Genomic DNA, 20,743 nt, shown 5'->3' with positions numbered 1-20,743 from the left:
ATGTCCCTTCCTTGAGAAAGTTTATTTTTCAGTGAATCAAAAGAACATTTCCTTTTACCAAAGGGAGACGTGACTGAGATAGAAGATGGGTTTGATTTTTGCTTTCTTTTTGTCTCGTTTTAGTGCCTTAAACATTTTTCCTCAGTAAATCATACATACAGTTAAAATAGACCAGAAGAAACTAGGTAAAAAAGACAAGAAAAAAAAACAATGAATTAAGAAACAGCAAATAAGAACTTCCTCAAGGAGACATTAAGAACTTTCAGAGCTTTCTGGCTTTTAGGGACAAGGGAGAAAAGTTTGGATATGAGAAACTATATAAAGCTCAATAATTAGAATTAGAAATGAACACTAGAGTGAGAGAGAAAATTAAATATTATATTATTTCTGTATTATGTGGTTTGTTAAAATAAAGGGACAAATTGCTTGTATATATTAAAATATCTAAATAAAATAAATGCAGTCTATACAAAAAAGAATTATAATCGCAATAATTATAAGAATCATATGTGTTAGGCACTGTTTAAGGGACTTTATATGTTGTATTTCACTCAGTCTACAAAGCAGTCTTAAAACACAGGTTGTATTGTAATGATTGTTTTATATTTAGAGAAACTTAGCCTTGTAGGAGGTTAAGGAACTTGCCCAAGGACACACAGCTAATAAATAGCAAAACTAGAATATGAACCCAGGAAATCCGATTCCACAGACTGAATACTTATCCACTATACTCAGTGATCATAATAAGCAATGTTATTTTCATATTTACTATTTCTAAATATTATATCTGAAGAAATTATTGTATCTAAAGATATAATTTTAGACTGTTTTAAGCACTATTATATCAATATGCTACCTGATCATATTAATAAGGGAAATAACTTATAACTCTCAGGAATACAATGCTAAATCAATATCAAGTTAGTTACGCATTAGATGTTAGGGGCCTCGGTGCCTAATACTATATAGTCATGATATAGCCTTACAAAATGTATAAAGATATTTAACTTCAAAGTCAATTTCAAGATGAAAAAAACTTGAGTCAAGTTTTCTGAGCATAGGAGCAGCTTACTGCAGGCCATGCATGCAGGAGGAAAAATCAATAGGAGTGATACAAACATAACCCATTGTTTTAGCAGTGGAATTACATGTTCCACAATGTTGCATAAACAACTGATAAAGAGCGCAGGGCTTGAGTAATTGCTAAGCAGACACCCACAAATCAAACTATTTAGTGTCACTATTCCTGGCAGTAGCACCAAACTCCATGTGGGATGCAAGAAGTTCAAAAAAATTTACACATCTTTATACATGATTTAGTGATGGACTTCTAGAGGAATTTAGACAACAGACAGCTGTCCTGATTAACTACACACATAGGACTTCTCTTCTTTATTGAATCAAATGTTGTCATGTGAGACACAAAAATATAAAATCTTTAGATTCCTTTATTTTAAAAACAAATAAAATACTTACATTATTAACAGAAGAGCATACTGGTTTCGGTCCATAAAATCTTTGGGAAGGGACAACTGTAAAGGAAGTTCTTTTAAAGAAAGAGCAAAATATTAAAGATGGAGAGTCATTTGCAGGTAAAACTATAAGACGCAGAGAAAGTTGTTCTTGAATAACATAGCATGCACAAAATTTTACCATAGTCGTCAATATGAAGGATTTTAATTTCTGGCTTTCCTATCTTCTTCTTCAGGATAGCTTCCTTCAGCATAGAATTGCTTTCCAATATAAAATATTCTGTAAACCAAAAAGGGTAGTGTAAATAGCTAACCCCTATGCATTAAACAGAATCAGTGTGACACAACAAAAAATTATCCACTTGTTACCATTTGGCAGGCACTGTGCTGATTAACTCATCATTTCTCTTTTGAATTACTACAACAGTTTTCTAAGTAAGCTTCATTAGGCCAGTAAAACTTTTTCATTTGCTTCTATATTAAATTTATCATTTACGTTTTCAAAATGCAAATCTGATCATATTGTTAACCTGCTTAAGAATATTTTAGCAAAATACAAGATTATCTAGCACCAAATGAGATGCGATTCACAATACCTAGGTACCTATACCAATTAAAAGGGATACAGAAACACAGGATGAGGACACCTGGATTGTAGTTCAGGTATTTAATAAGGTAGAAAAAGCATGAGCATGTTATATATTTCTAAAAATAAAAACTGCAGAATCTGAAATACATGAAAATTATATGATCTAAGATGAAAAATATACTGGGTGATATTAATAAAATATTAGGCACTGAAGAACAAAAGAGTAATGACCTTGAAAATACAGTAATAGAGAAATAGCAAAAATGAAACATCAAAAAATTTGATAAAACATGAAGTGGACATCAGTAACTTGCTGGAATTTTGAGGTACGTGCACTGTATTAAATTTATAGATCTATTTGGAGAGACTTTACATCACAAAAATAGCCTTCTAGGCCGGGCGCGGTGGCTCACGCCTGTAATCCCAGCACTTTGGGAGGCCGAGGCGGGTGGATCATGAGGTCAGGAGATCGAGACCATCCTGGCTAACAAGGTGAAACCCCGTCTCTACTAAAAATACAAAAAATTAGCCGGGCGCGGTGGCGGGCGCCTGTAGTCCCAGCTACTCGGGAGGCTGAGGCAGGAGAATGGCGTGAACCCGGGAAGCGGAGCTTGCAGTGAGCCGAGATTGCGCCACTGCAGTCCGCAGTCCGGCCTGGGCGACAGAGCGAGACTCCGTCTCAAAAAAAAAAAAAAAAAAATAGCCTTCTAATCCATATATATACATTCACATATATGTTTGCATATATACATATTGTACACACATATATCCATGTGTACATATTGTATACAGATATATACAAGTCTATGTCTGTAGAAATCTGAGTCTTTAATTTCTCCCAGCAGTATTATACAGATTTTAGAGGAGGTATTCATTTTTATCGGATTTATTCCTAGATACTCCATGGATTTTTGATGTTACTTTAAACAGCATTTTAAAAATACTCCTAAATCTTGCATTTTCATTGATGAAATGGTTGAATTTTGTGTATTGGCCTACAGATGTAACCATGATAAATTCACTTATTTTCAATAGTTTATTGTGTGTATATTCCACAATTTTTTGTTTCCTTCCTTTTTGTTTTGTACACAGTATGTCTTCTGCAGATAAACACAGTTTTACTGCATATATTTCTTTGTCTTACCCACTTTACTGGCTAAGTCCTCTACCACAATGTTGCACAGAAGGAGTGAGAACAAATATTCTTGACTTTCCCAGTCCTCAGGCAGGAGCATCATTCTTTCACCATTAAGCATGATGTCAGCTGTAGTATTTTTACAGATATCATTCATGAAGTTCAGGAATTTCTTTTCTATCTTATCTTGATTAGGTATTCCTATTAATTTATTATTATTATTGTTTGCCAAAATTTTCAAGTTTTTAAAAACTCCTTTGAGGTGTCAGTGTAATACGGTGAATTACATTGTTTGTTGAAGGTTATAGCAAACACAGAATCTTTGGGTAAACCCAATATGGCCATAACAAACTATCATACTTTCTATAATTGCTAGGTTTGACTTGCTATTATTTAGTTAAGGTGTTTTGCACCTAAATTCATGAGAAAATTTGATCTTTTTTTTGTCCTCTTAATATATATGTCTGGATTTGGAATCTGGTCAATACTCGCCTTATTTTTTATTTTTTATTTTTTTTTGAGACGGAGTCTCATTCTTTTGCCCAGGCTCGAGTGCAGTGGTGTGATCTCGGCTCACTGCAAGCTCCGCCTCCCAGGTTCATGCCATTCTCCTGCCTCAGCCTCCTGAATAGCTGGGACTACAGGCGCCCGCCACCACACCCGGCTAATTTTTTGTATTTTTAGTAGAGACAGGGTTTCACCGTGTTAGCCAGGATGGTCTCGATCTCCTGACCTCACGATCTCCACCCGCCTCGGCCTCCCAAAGTGCTGGGATTACAGGCGTGAGCCACCGCGCCTGGCCTGCCTTATATTTTTAAAAAGAGTTTGTGTAAACTTGGTATTAACTTATTAAAAGTTGCATAAAATGCACCAGTGAAACTAGCTGCATCTGGAGTTTCCTTTGTGAGGAGAATGTTAATTGCATATTTATATACTGTATTTCTTCTCGTGTGAATGTTTAGTGATTTGTGTATTTTAAGGAATTTTTCCATTTCATCTAAGATGCCTAATATACTGGCAAAAAATTACGTATAATGTTCCACTATTGTCATTCTAATATCTATAGCATTTGTATAAACATCATCTCTTTTATTAATGGCATTACATTTTTCTCTTTTTCTTCATGTCTCTCACTAGAATTTTGCCAACTTTATTGATCTTGTCAGGGAAGCAACTTTTGGTTTCATACATTTTCTCTACTGCTAGTCTATGTTCAATATCATTTCCTTCTTAGTCATTTTTCAATCTCCTTCTTTCAACTTTGTTTTAATTTGCTCTTCTTTTTCTAATTCCTTAAGGTGAAAGAGGAGATTATCGATTTTAAACCTTTTCTTTTTATACAATAAGTTAGAATCATAAATTTCTTTCTAATCACAACTGTAGTAACCCCTAAATTGGGATCTGTTGTGTTTTTATTTTTATATAATAAGTTAGAGTCATAAATTTCTTTCTAATCACAGCTGTAGTTACACGTAAATTGGAATCTGATGTGTTTTCATCTTCCTTCAGCTCAAAATATTTTCTAATTATTTAGTTTTTATTGATCAATTTGTTATTTAGAAGAGCAAGTTTGATGACAGAACGTTCTCACTTCTTTTATTATTGAAACTTTCTTTTTGTCTTCATTTTTAAGTGAGAAATATCTTCTAGGTTTGTTTTTCTATTAAGAATTTTTGTTTAGTTCAGTTTGGTTTTCCGTCAGCATTTGCAGCATTTTGTTCTATTGTCTTCCAGTTTGCTTTTTTCTGATGAGATGTCTGTAGTCATTCGTTTTTACTATGTGCATAATATGTGGATGTAATGTGTCTTTTAATTTCTGATTATTTAAAATGTTTTTCTTTATCATTGGTTTTGCATAATTTGCTAATGATGTGCGCTAGTGTGGTTTTATTGACATTTATCCTGCTTCCGTTATGTTGAACTTTTTTTAACTTTTTCATCAGATTTAGAAAATTTTTGGCCGTTATTGCATCAAATATTTTTTGCAAGTTTCCTTGCCCCATTCTGACTCTAATTACAAATATGATAGATGTAGATACTGGCCTATGGTTAATTTAGGTTCTACTTTCTTCATTCCTTTTCTATTTGTGTCAAGAAATTTTCCACTGATATTGTTTCAAGTCCACTGATCTTTTCTTCTGCAGCATCTAATCTGTTCTTAGTATTTTCCAGTGAAGTTTATATTTCAAATATTTTATTTTAAATTCACAAAGTTCTTTCATAAAAATATATTATCTTTGTTTTCTCTCTACATTCATTCTTTCCTTGATGGCTTTATGTATTTGTAACAGCTAATTTACTGTATTTGCCAGTGATTTCCATCATCTCTGTCATTTCTGAGTTTGTTTCTATTCACTAATCTTTCTCCTATTTATGAGTAATATTTTCTACTTTCTTCACAAAGCTAGTAATTTTTTATTAGATACCAACCATTGTGACATTTACATTTTGAAAGCCTGGGTTTTGTTGTGATCTTCTAACAATTGTTGGACTTTGTTCTGGCATATGTTGCAGGCAGGTTGACCATTTCAAGACTTTTCAAGAAATCTTTTTAGTGTGTATTTGAATGACCTTTGCTCTATGGCTAGTTTAGCACTACAAAAGGCAGGACACTTCTGGGATCTCTTCTAAATGTTCCACTACTGTGCTGATTATAACTTGAGCAAATCCCACCACTCTGTGAGCTCCGGCATTGCCCACACTCATGAAGCATCTTCCTATGCATACTCAGCTAGGTATTTTCAGCAGCTGATTCAGGGTGATCCCTCTTCCAGCCCTATGCAGATGTCTTTCTCCATGTGGCTTCTTCATTTCCAGTTTCATCTTTCCATAAGCCTCAATTCCATAAAATTCCATACCATTCCTCAACATTCCATAAGCCTCAATCTTTCTGAATATCATTTTCTGTCTCCTCAACTCAGAGATATCATTGTATTATGATTAGCTTATTCCTTATTGCATTGGAGTTCAGAAATTTCTATTAACAAGAAAGCCAGAGAACTTACAACACTAATTGTACTTGTTTCCTTCTTTCAGGGATCAGAGACCCATGCTGGCTATTGTTGAATGTCTGGAAACAGTTGATTTGTATATTTTGTCCAGTTTTCTTTACTCTTTTTTTTTATTATTATTAAAGGAAACAAGGGAATCAGGTCTATTTCCAGTTACTCCATGGCCAGAAAAAAAATAAAATAAAATGTCAAAGGTTTATCATTGAACAAATATGATTGAATCCAAACTACTTAGAAAACATAAGAGTTATAATCCAATTCCAGTCTGCCCCTCTGGCCTCATATAGTTTTGCTCTTTTAGTAAATGTTTTGTTCCAGCTATGATGAACAATGTTTATCTTGCAAATGTGAACACTTTTATGCGTTCTTATGTTTGTATACACACATTCGTTTTTCTGAAAATGTCTTCTCATTGACTTCCTCTTGTCCTGAACTGTGTGCACTTTTACTAGAGAAATAATCATAGACTGTTATAAGCATGTAATTTTATGTTTCTCCCATTGGACTACGCTGTCTATGTGTAACCTCAGGCACATCAAACTACCTCTTTTGTAAGTAAATATCTTCCCCTATTATATATATCTGGAAGACTAGATGTTCTAAGAGGTTTTTTACATGTTTAAAATGGAAAGAAACTCTGATTATTTAAACATTAGTGTATTTCCAAAGAAGCTATCCTAAGCATTTAATTTTAAATGCTTAAAAAATGGTGAATATTCACTCAGAGAAACTAGAAAAACAAGAGCAAATCAATCCCAAAGCTACAGGAGGAAGAAAAAAAAAAAACCCACATCAGAGCTGAACTGAATGAAATGAATACGTGAAAAAGCATAAAAACCAAAAGTTGGTTCTTCGAAAGTATAAATACAATTAATAGACTGCTACATAGCCTAAGAAAAAAGAGAGAAAAGTCAAATAAACACAATCAGAAATGACAAAGGGGACATTACCACTGACCCCATGGAAATACAAAAAGCCTTCAGAGACTATTATGAGTGCCGCTATGCCCACAAACTAAAAAACGTACAAGAAGTTGATAAATTCCTGGACATACACACCCTTTCAAGAGTGGACCAGGGAGAAATTGAAACCCTGAACAGACCGATAATGATTTATGAAATTAAATGAGTAATAAAAAGCCTACCAACTAGAAAAAGGCTGGAACCAGATGGATCCATATTCAAATTCTATGAAATGTATAAAGAAGAGCTGCTACTAATCCTACTGAAGCTAATCCAAAAAATCAAGGGGAAGGGATTCCTACCCAACTCATTCTATGAGGTCAGCATGATTCTGATACCAAAACCTGGCAGAAACACAGTGAAAAGAGAAAACTTCAAGAAAACAGTGGCTGGGCCTGAAGGTCAAGGGTGAAGATTCCCTTCAGCCAAAGGTCACAGCCAACCTGTGGTGACTCCATAGGAACACGGCTGGTGGAATAAACAACCCAGAGCAGTTTTCTCCCTCTTTCCAGTTGCCTACAAGATTTCCTTTGGTTGAATCCAGTTGGAAGCCATGGGGCAACAGAACCTAAGTCATCTATAGAAAGTACTTCTAGGCCAGAGAACATCGAAGAGAAGAATTGAGAGTTAAAAGTGGTTCTGGAAAAACAGATGGAAGATGCCCAGGGCACTGAGTAATATTCCATTAAAATGTACTTACAAACTCCCATTATTTGTTATTTATAATGTCTTTTTCTATTTTCAATAGCTTTGTCATAATATTCTCCATTTAGAATTATTTTCTCAGTGTAAACTACAAAAATGAAAAAATGATATAAAAGAATTAAGTTTCTGCTAGGCATGGTGGCTCATGGCTGTAATCTCAGCACTTTGGGAGGCTGTGGCTGGCAGATCACCTGAGGTTGTGAGTTCGAGACCAGCCTGACCAACTGGAGAAACCCCGTCTCTACTAAAAATACAAAATTAGCTGGGCGTGGTGATGCATGCCTGTAATCCCAGCTACTCGGGGGGCTGAGGCAGGAGAATTGCTTGAACCTGGGAGGTGGAGGTTGCGGTGAGCTGAGATCACACCATTGCATTCCAGCCTGGGCAACAAGAGTGAAATTCTGTCTCAAAAAAACAAAAGAAATAAGTTTTGACTATTATTTTTAATATGTTATAATTAACATTTCTACCACATTCTATCTTTATTAGTAATGTAAATTTTTAATGTTATTAATTTGTTAGGAAAAATTACATGGCAGTAGTTTCTTCTGCGTTTCTTTGATAACTAGTGGGTTTAAAGGTTTTCCATGCTTGTTAAATATTTTCCTTTTTCTTTTTTAAAATTTTCTCTCCATGCACTATTCTACTTCATGTGGCCCAAAAATGAGTTATGACTTACTCATTGGTATATTTGCTTTCATTGACCCAAAGATTTACTTGCCATTGACTATAAATTTTATCTCCCTAAGTAATTATCTTTTGAAAAGAAAATTAAGCACTTGACCACTATTCACAGCCTTTTTTTGTTTTTGTTGACCTTGAGACAAACATGATTGGCTTTTGAACAGGAAAATAACATGATTTCCCTTAGACAGAAATGTTTTGTAATTTGCAGCAGAAGTTATTAGAAAAGACATTGCCTTGTAACAACAGGATAAAATTAAATTAAAATCAGATTGGAAAATTTTTAATCATCCTTTGTTAAAGGCAAGATATACAGTGTAACACAAATAGTTATTGATTAAGTGTGTCCTATATGTCATGAATGTTACTCATCTTCACTGCAAACACATTTGTTTATTTGTCTCGGAGGACACTGATGTTTTGAGATGTTAACGCACTGTCTTGGATCCCACAAAAAGCATGTGATAGACTTATTTTATACACTGATAGTTCTATCTATGAGATTCAACCTTCTTTCCATTTTATCAACCGTACTGTCTATGGTCATTATTGTTGCCGTTAGAGTTAATATTGAATATATTTGATTTGCTTAACATAATCTTTTTAAGGTTTACACTGAAGACGGAAATAATGAAATAAATAGAAACTAAAATGTGTGCTAAACCATCTTTCAGCCACACAAAAACCCAACACAAATTTAGAAATTTCTTGTTGCCTCGGGCATGCACTAAGTGTCTATATGACATTATTTGAACAATATAAATGGTCTTGGTCTGTTTTCTCAAAATGATATTTGTCATTCAACCTTACACTTTTTTACCTATATATCTTCTAAGTCAAGCCACCTAACTGACTCCTACTTAAATAAGAGTATGCAATGCATGAGGCAAAAGCACAATAGAAAAAGTAGTTATTATATTGTAGTGAATTATAAACCTATTCTCGAGTCAGACTGTCTCATTTGATCCCTGGTTCTGCCATTTATTAGTATGACTCTGGCCAAGTTATTACCACTTAACCTCTTTGAGACTAATTTTTCTCACCTGTAAAAAGGGATAATCAAATTAACTATCTCAGAGGTATTCCAAAGTTCAAGTGAGTCAATAAATATGAGCCATTATTAGATTATAGTAGCTTATGTGAAATCATCACAGAATAGAAGCATTGATTAAATAAAACTTAAAAAATGAAAGAAGGATACAAACATGGAAGAAAGGAAAGAGAAAGGAAGGCAGGATGAAATCTGGTTATTCATTTTTAAGATAAGCTCAACCATGCATTTATTTATCTACTTTACTGTAAGTTCTTGAACAAAACACTCTTTCAGTGTACCCTCCGACTCTGTCACATTGTTTGACAAAAGTAGGTGATCTCTTAACAAACCTAACAAATATACAAATGAATAAATTCATAAATGAAAAAGTGCATATACAAAACTAGAAGAACCTGGATATCTGGAACAAACAGGATAGAAAATATATAAAATAACACATTTTTCATAATTTTCTGAAATGTCTTCAAAAGGTTATTCTGGAGGAATAACTTATGTGAGGCCCAGGCAAGAATGAACCAGAACATTAAGAGGCCAGTAAGCTAAAATGTACCTGTTTCATCAATAACTCTATTTGACTTAGGTAGTAGATATCCTATTTCGGGCATATAAGATTCACCTCCCACCTGTAACATGGCTCATATCTCTTGCTTTACTGTTTCTCTTACATACATAAGGTCAAGTTGATGGTATACACGCAGCTTTCCTCATGGTGGGGATTTTTTGAAGAAGAATTTATAGAGGATATGACTCAGAATAGATAACACGATGTCTAAGACTAATGCCAACCATAACTATTCTTAATTGTCTTCTTGTGTACTCACTTGCTGGGTTGTCCGTACTATGTAGGCTGACCACTGGGACCCTTGGACCTGGAATTTAAAAATATGTGTATAAATATTTTTAAAGATGTCTAAGTAATAATCATTAGAAAGTTTACATAATAGTTTTTTCCCCCCAAATGGAAGCACTTCGTGGTTAAAACATAACAAAACAGAAACCAGATAACTAGCTTTCATTCCTATTTATAAGCGTTTTATTCAGAAGGGTAAGAATATATGAGAAGGAAACTATTTGCAGAGATTATTGTTAAGATTCTCTCTTCCCCCAAATGTTCTATATTTCTATGTTTTTAGCCAATTCTACATGCTTTCTCTTTATCTCTAGTCTTTTATAGACTAGCCACTGATGTTCACAAAGCTGATTCACAACCCTTTCACCCCTCATCCACTGATCCAAGATCAAATTCTATTTGCCACTCAGCCAAAAAAAGAAAGCACGCATATTGGAAATAGTTCATCCATAAGAAAAGTTTAAAATTGGGTGGTAACTATATATTAATTTAAAAATACGTTAACCATAATCTTCAAATATTTAAAATACACTAGCTAATTTGTTACTGTAAAAAGTTATCTTGAAACTTCACTTCTCTAAGGAATCCCATCTAAAACTAATTTTTTTTTCCTGGTGTCATTAAACAAGGACTTCTTTTTTGATTACTTCATTTCATATATCAAGAGAAAAACAATGTCAAAAAGTAAGTCTTGGTATATCTCTCATTGTCTCTTAAAAAAGGACAGCTTAATATATCAGCTGCAGTAGTAGCACTCAACTCTTCATATTATAAGAGGACACATGAGTTCTATTTAATCTCTGGAAAATACAGTACCATATTAAAAGGAAAATGATTTCTATGAATATATTGTAGAGATACTGTATAAACATGTAAGACTACGCATATTGTTACAAGATAGAAGAAGTAATAATGGTGAATGTAATTGATCAGAACTGAAGAACTCTGAAGCAGGGGAATTCAATTTCCACAGGTCCTAAATTTCCATAGATCCTAAATCTCTTAACAACCAAAGCATTGTTTTAAAAAGAAGACTAGACTATTACTTTTTCTGAAGACTAGGTAAATTAGTTTATGATTGTGGCATGGCCTCGCTGATGTAAATATATTTATTCACCTTTTAAAGTTGCTCATGTTCAAATAGCACTTATTAATTATGTGTGCATGTTTATTGACTTATTCTCATTTTTTATTTCTATACAAAATATGTAAAAAATTGTATCTCAGTAAGTCTATATATAATGTATATCCTATTAACAAAAATTTATAAATTAAGATTATGAAATCATCTAGAGTAATAGTTGCTGATACCAACAGATATTGACCAAATACAATGAATAAAATATATTATATCAGAATTCATGTATTATCTTACCTTCACAGAATAATAAGAAATGTTGATTCATGGGACTAAAACTGGCATCAAAATATGTACATTGTTCTTTCATGAAATTACATGAAATGCATTGGCGATTCAATAATCCTTCAGTAGAAGCACTGGAGAAAGAAAAAGGAAGTTATTATAGAAATGCTACTATTCTAGGCACTTGAATGTGTGGTGTTCATATTTAAATATAATATAAACAAGGGAGTTACATCGGTGCTTGCATAGAGGTTCACTGTAAACTATGAATCACCATATACATAAAAAGTCACCTTCTATTAGTAATGTTAAAACATACACATTTTTCTTAATCTATTAAAATTAAAATTATGTATTATTTTATGTATGTAATATGTACACTTGTATGTATGGCTATAAACAAAGAACTGATTTCAATGGAACTCAAATTAACTTACTGTTTTTTGCATTTTTAATAGATATTTCTGTGTAAAGTCTTAAAGGGAATTTCCCACAGAGATTATTCAATGTTTAATACATACTAATTGAAAGAAGGAATATGCATTTCCACAAGTCAAACAAAAAAATCCAGCTCATGATTTTCTAAATTAAACATTCTAAACATTAGAATTTGGTATCAGTGCCAAATTTTCCCCATCATTTACTTGCAGAAAAATTACTGATTTTAAAAAAGTTACATTTGTATTATAACACATATAACACTAACAACAATACACACTTTGACATAATGAGGTGGTAAAAAGAAGAGTCATCACCATCTTTATTTTACAATAGTGGTGCTTAAGGTTACAGGAGTTGAAAAATTAATATAAGATTAAATTTCATTTATCAAATTGTTTATTTAATAAATAAGTCTGAATGCAAAATTTGGTAGGTCAATGGATGAAAACACTGTTGAGAATACCTTTAGAAAAACTTGATCAGACAAAAGGTCTCAATTTCATTTTGGAATGAAACATGATTTTTGGTCGTATATTTACAAATGAACAATATTCACGTTGATTTTGATGTGCAATACGCTGTAGGTATGGGGATTGGAACAGGGGTGTTAAGGCAGCTACAAGAAACAGTTCACAAAATCACAATTCCATATTTGAAACACTGTGAGATGATTACAATCCAAAAATTTCCTTATAATACTCAAAACAATATATACCAAGCACAAATCATATTAGTTTCACTCATGATAACTTATAAAATATCCATAGCCATTTTTTTTCATTTTATAAAATTTGGGTTAAACCTGTATAACATAACATTTGTCATTTTAAGCATTTCTAAGTGTACAATTCAGTTTCATTAATTACATTCACAACATTGTACAATTTTCACCACAGAAAAGCTTAGAAAGTATCCCAGTTGCATACAGCTATTCAGTGACATACTAAGATTTAAAACCTTTTTCTCTCTACTCTTCCATAAAGCTTTTAGATCCAAGCTCCCTGGAGATTTATGTGGTATTTTCTCATTATTTAGATTATGAGATTGCTGAAATAAAGAGACACAAATTTTGAGACAAAGAAAGTAACAATGACTACGGTAGCAGTCCTACTCCTGCAGGGGTGCCTAGTGCCATATATTAAGTCAACCAGTGATCATTTTTATAGCCTGGGCAAGACATTGATTGCATTTTCTGGGTCAAACACTAACATTATCTTACAGTCAAGCCAACTGGCATTTGATGAGCTATTTAAGGGAAAATTTATTGCTACTACATTTTCTTTGTAACACTGTCGACTACACTAGTACATGTCAGAGATACATTGACTGTTCTGCCTCAGTCACTAGAGAGATAAGACAAGCACACAAATCTAAGAAGTCATTATGATTCAAATCACATTTTACACTAATAATGGGAAGAAAGATTGAGGCAGTTCCATTTGCTGAACTTGACCAAGTCTAATCTTCTGATGCTGTCATTTTTCTTTGAGTTTTATAAAATGAGAGTTTTATAAGATATAAAGTGTTTCTATCTCTCTAAGCTACAGTTTATGGCTACCGATATCAATCATAATGTATGTTTCAAGAAAGATAAGCTTTAGGTCACCAAAAGAAAAAGTGACCAGTACTTTGATCAAGATCCCGAATCCAAAATTCAAATCACTATCTCTATATGAATAGCTTTGCTTCCTGGAAGTCAGAATTAAGAACATGCGTTCCAGGAGGTCCACGAGAATAAACTTATAATAATGATGTATTAAGAAAGGCGATTAAAAGGACAAGGTTGCTTCTGATGAAAGCAAATTGTGTATAAATAAGAGTGTGGGGGTGATGCAGAGGAAGTCGGGGTACTTTAAGCATGCATTTTTACTCTCAAAGGAAAGTCAGTACTACTCGGTAAGAATTAGTGGTGACACTTCTTAAAACATGATGAATTTCCCCTGAGAATATGTCATGGCAGTTTTGACACTTTAAAAATGGATCTGTGAAATGGAAATTAGAACATGTATATAAAGTCTAGAATTAATAGGTTGCTTGCCAGCCAAAAATAAAAGTCATTTTTGTGAGATCCTGGTGAAAGCTCTCTGAGTGAGGAGACATTTTAATACTAAATAGGTGTGAGCTTAAGCCTTTTTTTGAGTATAGTTTTGCATTTGGGAAATTGAACAAATGTAATTATTTTCCCCTATATTGCTTTATTTTAGCAAGCAATGAGCGTTCCTTATTTAAATAAGGATGCCTCCTCCTGCAACAATCTCACTGGGTTTTATGAACAACAAGACAAAGAGGGAAAGCTTCCTGCTTGATACACTAGACTAACTGTTCACAACAACATTATATTGTACAAGAATAAATTTCACCTGTGCCACATTAATGCACTGAAAATTCAAAATGAGACTTAGCAGAAGATGAAGGCACGAGGGAAAATACGTAAATCTCTCTGATGTGGAGAGTTGAGAGAAATAAGCCACAAAAAAGATATTAAGAAACTGCAAAAGCAGGTGAAGAAAAGAATAAGGAGGCTGCAGAGCAGGAAGGAGCAAGCAGGGCTCCATTTTCTCCAGTCCTGTCAAGGGAGAGACTGGTGCAAGAGTGTGAAGCTTTGTCAGCAAAGTTGGCTCTTCCTAGCCATGTTGAAAAAGACATTTCAAATTTTTCCTTTCCTTCCTTATGCTACATAGATAGCCATTGAGAAGCCAATCTGTGTAAGGAGATCCTTGCACACTGCTTACCTGTACAGCTGCCTTCCTCTGGGAGAAGATTCAGTGCTCAGAAAGTAACTGTCCAGGAAAGAAAACAACACAAGCATTAGACACAGATCTATTTTTTGTGATCTGTGAATTTTGTCACATTGTCACATTGAATCCTGAATTCACATTGAATCTTCACCTGAATTTTCACATTAAATCTTCACTTGAATTTTTAAAACTGTCAAAATACAGACAGGAGTTGTTTTGCTATACAAACACAGGGCTATGATCAAACTAGGAAACATATTTTTTTCCCCTGATAAAATCATCCTTTTTCATAACCTCTCTCAATCACTGTGTGTGAGTATATGTGTGTGTGTGTGCGTGTGCACACACACATCCCTCTGTGTAAGATGTCTCTGTGTGAAGTGTGGAAGAGGTCTTTAAAGAAAGGTTATTCTTTCCATGGCTGGCTTGTTTTGACTAGGACTATGGTAAGCAAAACATAATTCTATTAGAAAAGATGGCATTTGACAACGCTAACTTGCAGCCTGACTAGAGAACTGAAAACACTCACATTTTTTGAGTAGTTTCATCGTATGCCAAGATCTTTATCACTTCCCAGTTTCCTGATGTCAGATGCCGCACGGTAATTTGCTCACTTTTACTCTGCAAAGAAATAGAAAATATTGATTTTCCTTTCATTTAAACAGCATCTCTCTGGTAAACACGAATGTACCAACTGCTTGTGACACTTCGAATTCTCTAATTCTCAGTTAACACTCAGTTTTCTGTTCCACAGCTCAAGAATGAACATGCATTCCTATAAACACAGATCAAGGCAGGTAGGTTAGTGCCTTCATTTCAACTATAGAAAAGTCATTCAGAAAACTCCTCCAGGTGAGGGTGAATCAAGTATACCATGTTGATGGCAGCATTTGCTTCCAAGGTAGGACTTTAATCACTCTCATGTAAATGACTGGCAGCTGTACAGTTAGCTTTAAAAAAAAAAAACATTTTAGAACAAACTTTACTCCAATAAATACTCAGGTTTGTATTCATTTTAACCTTTGCAGTATGGGCATTGTTATAAGATTTGCCATTTAATGCAATAATTTTTTTTCAGAGATGAATTCATGTTGATGAAGGTAATTAGCTTAATCAATGCTTCCAAGGTGTTTATAGGACCAACATTTTAATATGTAAAAAACAGGTAGTAGTATTGTCTAAAAAATATATATTGTTTGACCCAAAAAGTATTCTTAGAAATACTATCATTCTATTCCTTAACCACTTTATGTAGTTAGAGAACACTGATTAGAATGGATTAGAAAGATTTGGAACCAACCCAAATACCCATCAATGATAGACTGGATAAAGAAAATGTGGCACATATACACCATGGACTACTATGCAGCCGTAAAAAAAGGATGAGTTCATGTCCTTTGCAGGGACATGGATGAAGCTGGAAACCATCATTCTTAGCAAAGTAACACAAGAACAGAAAACCAAACACTGCATGTTCTCACTCATAAGTGGGAGCTGAACAATGGCGCCTGTCAGGAGGTTGGGGGCTAGGGGAGGGATAGCATTAGGAGAAATACCTAATGTAGATGACGGGTTGATGGGTGCAGCAAACCACCATGGCACGTGTATACCTATGTAACACACCTGCACCTTCTGCACATGTACCCCAGAGCTTCAAGTATAAAACAACAACAGCTAAAAACAAAAACAACTGTTATCTCTAGTGTTGTGTATACTCAAGCTACTTCACTCTGATTCCTTATCTCAGTGCTGATTTTAAAGGGAATATTACTACTGCTCCATTATCAATTATGCTATATGAATAAAGCTTTTGGCAAGTGCCTTCATCACCTTAAAGAAGTTCCCTTTATTCCTAAATTTCTAAGGTTTTTGAATACTGATTTTGTTGAATTTACTTGGATCCTATGTCTGCATCTATTAAGGTGATTATAATTTTCTCAGGAAAATTTAAATGCAGTTAATTATCTTACATATTTTTGAAATTTTAAGTAAATTTTGCATTTCTGTTCAAAAAATAAGAGTTAATTTTTTAAATGCATTAAATAAGTCAACTTGTCAATAATTGGTTTAGTATTTTTAAGCTTTCTTATACTGTCTTTTCTGATACTGTTTTAATTTCGTGTTGGTTACAAGATGATACCCATGTCATAAATTGTACTAAAGACATGCCATATTTTTTCATTTTCAAAATAATATAAAATTGGAAGTGCGTACTCCTAGAATATTTGGTGAGATTCACTTTTAAAAACAACCTTTCCCTGATGTGGAAAATCCTACATCACTGATTCCATTTTCTTAACACTATGGAGGATTTTGATTGTTTCTTAAATCTGATTTGATTTTTTTTTCTAGATTGCATCCATTTCTCCTAAACTTCAAGTTTATCAATGTAAAGTTATTCATAGTATTCTTTTAATATTTTTAAAATCTGTAGTTTTGTCCCTTTCCATTATTTATACTTTGGAACTGTCCAAGTTATTATTACCCTTGACAGCTCTTATAGATTCAACTACTTTTTCCAAATAACTTACTATTTGTTTTATCATACTGCTTTATTTCATGTTTGCTTACTAGATTAATAAGTGCTATTCTTTCATTTCTAATTACCTTTCTTTTACATTTGAATTTATTCTCTTCCTTTTCTAAATTCTGACATTGGATATATACATAATTTCATATATGCATATAAAATTATTGCATATATTAAAAACTGTTGTTTATATGTATTGCATATTTTCGTATATGTAGTATTCTCATTTAGTTCTAAGTGTTTGCTGATTTCTTCTTGAAACTATGAATAGAAATTATATTTTGTTTCCAAATGTATAACCTTTTAAATGTTGTTATTTGTGCAATTCAATTTCATTGTCTTCAGAGAGTGTAATCTGTCAGCTGAGTAATGCTTTCAATGCATTTTTGGTAAAAATAAATTCAGAATTAGGTTCATATAGGATAGTTTTATTATAACATCTATTTTCCCACACAACTGAAAGTGTAAACTAAAAGGGCATTCCATACTTTACTGCACATGTGTACTAACAGAATCTTCCTTTGAAAAATTTTCTGTCTTATTGGTATGTATTTGCATTTCAATATCTCCCTAAGTAGTCTATTTTATGTTCTTAGTGGAAGTTCTCTAGACGTCTAGCTGCTTAAGGTCAACAGCAAGCCTGTGACTTCTTTATATCAACTTCTTTGTATACTATCTGACGTACTACTGATTTACAAGTATTTGTTGACTAGAGGTATAAGTGCAAAGACACCCAATTTGTGAGATATGAGAACTGCATAACCCAAAGGCTGGCACAGAGTTCTAAAGTCATACATTTTATTGCCAAGTTCACACAGGCAAATAACTCAGTGGATAGCTCCTCTTTCTTGTTTCCAGGCCCTGCTTTGAATGAGCCAAGGACAGGATACTAAAATTTCAAGGTTTTAGTGCATCTTTGATGCCAATTTCAAGATAAAATAATCTCAAAACATTAAAAAAGTGAAGAAACTTTGCTCAATATTTGAAAACATCTGGAGACACTTTTGGCCCACAGATTTCTAGGTTAATTATTTTCTCTGTTTTTCAGAGTATTTTGGTGTGTGTGTGTGTGTGTGTGTGTGTGTGTGTATGTGTGTTTTAAAGACAAATGAGATACAACATTAAAATTGCCATGAGTAAAAACCCAATGCTTTGAAAAATGTTTGAACACAGTATAAAAAATATTATATATGATTTACTTCAATGATCCTTTTAGTTCAAAATATTACACTTTCAAGTGTAGGACCAAAAGATCTCTTGTTGGAAGCCTTAATAACAACCATATAACCTTTTGATTTTATTTGAAACAGCTGTAATTGCCTTGCTTGCTTTTAATCTACCAGGGCAAATATGGTATGGGGAACAAGTTGAACCCTCATTTTGCATATAATAGCAAAGATTTACTTTCTAATAATCTACATAAGACTGTCACAGCAGTGAGCACATTAATTTTGACCTGGCTAATAATCTTAATACCAATCAGAATATGGTAGATGACTGAACAACACTTAATAAATATCACAGTATTTGAGCAGATTTCACAAGGGGATGTTTGTACTTCAGTTAGGTTTTTAAGCACCTTCAGCAGAAATGCAATCACAGGAAAGATCACTTAACAAAGCAGGAAAGAACAGCATTTTTTCTCTACAATAACATTTCTTTGTTTCTGTGAATCCATAATCTCTGCAATATTAACTTGGTAGAATAGAAATACTGAATATAAATATAAAACTGTAGTAGACTTTTGATAAAGGCAGTATGACAATGTATTTTAAATTGAACTAATATTTCAACTTTAATTTCAGACTAAAAAGCAACAAAAGTCGTGAGCTCATTCATTCTTAAAAGAGGGCTGGAAATTTGGAATAGAGTGTTTATTTGGAGCATTAGACACCAGACAAGTGACCTTCAATTCATAGAGATTTTATCTTGCTCAAGGAAGTTAAATATTGGTTTTATAATGCGATTTACAAATTGGAAACACATTGGGTATCAATACAAGTTTAACCCTGCATGTTCTTTTTACCTAATTACACATTATTCATTCACATTTCTTATATTAAATGTTCACTTTTATAGTTTCTAAATAAGGGAAATATTGTAGTGCTTAAAAATAGCATGCTTTAATTTGCCATCTATTCACCACATGAGATGAGCTCATTGTTTTCAGACAATGTCCTAATCAGATGCAGCAGTGAAACTTAATGCAAAAATTTTACTGGGTTGATTAGGTGATAAAATTGTGGATTGGGGGCATGCTGTTTTCCACAGTATTTGTAGTGAATAATGCCACTTAAAATCGTTCCAAGTGAAATCATCAGCTCTCATGGGCAAAACTTCGTGTTGCTGAATAGAGAAAGTGAATGGATTCACCCACATATAATTTTTCATTTAACACAATTTTAGAAGGTGACAGGGCCATTCCTTACGCCTATGAATCTGAACGACTGAACACAATGAAAATTCTGCTTACTCCATCTTTGAGAGAAAAAGGTGCTATACCTTTGATAAAAACCTATCTCTTCACTGCAGCCTGAATTGCAGGATGTAGAATGTTACAGTTCCTGAGATGAGAATTCAGAAGTTTGAAGTCAACATAACAAATATTTTTCAAGGGGCAAAGGGGCGAATATCTGAAGTGATCAAAAGTTTAATGGTCTGGGGTAAAAGGTTTTGTATCAGTGTATGACTCAGGAAGTACATAAACTGATAGTAATACGTGTACAAAACACTCTATCCAGAAGAACAGTTTCTTTAGCTATATAGATTTCCAGAAAAGCCATAGTTTTATTTAATATTTTCTTTAATGGAATATATGAAAGTGGAGAAAACACTCACAAATTTTGCTTTCATATATTCATACTGAAAGTGATCTGGAAATACATATATTAGGGCTTAGAAATCTTTTACTTTTGGTCCAGCTATTCCAGTTTTGTTAATCAATACTAAAGAAATAATCCACAATATAAATAAGCTTTATATACAGTGACATCTATCATTACAACAAATTGCCACTAAATTAAACACAGAACAACAAATAATGGTTATTGATGCACATCCAGTCAACTCAATATTAATCTTCTAAAGAATTATTTTTCAAAATTATTTAGCATTGTGGGAAAAGTGTGCATTTAAAATTTAAATTTGACATATCAGGATGCAATACTGTAGTTTACATAAAATTACAATAATGTTTAAATGAAGACTGG

The 20,743-nt window shown here is 33.2% G+C and overlaps 1 protein-coding gene across 24 annotated transcripts in view; it reads right to left on the bottom strand.

Moving 5' to 3' along the window:
* Positions 1–20,743, bottom strand: part of DPP10 (dipeptidyl peptidase like 10) — a 1,403,140-nt gene that overhangs the window by 52,948 nt on the left and 1,329,449 nt on the right. For all 24 annotated transcript variants that reach the window (NM_001321910.3, NM_001399849.1, NM_020868.6 and 21 more), the window contains 6 exon segments: positions 15,534–15,625; positions 14,999–15,046; positions 11,838–11,959; positions 10,434–10,481; positions 1,654–1,752; positions 1,477–1,546 (listed from right to left, as the gene is read on the bottom strand). In NM_001321910.3, coding sequence (NP_001308839.2) covers positions 1,477–1,546; positions 1,654–1,752; positions 10,434–10,481; positions 11,838–11,959; positions 14,999–15,046; positions 15,534–15,625 — 479 coding nt within the window.

The sequence above is a fragment of the Homo sapiens genome, chromosome 2 (genome assembly GCF_000001405.40).
Source record: "Homo sapiens chromosome 2, GRCh38.p14 Primary Assembly".
NCBI lineage: Eukaryota > Metazoa > Chordata > Mammalia > Primates > Hominidae > Homo > Homo sapiens.
Note: the sequence above shows the minus strand (reverse complement) of the source record. Positions and strands in the feature narration are given on the sequence as shown.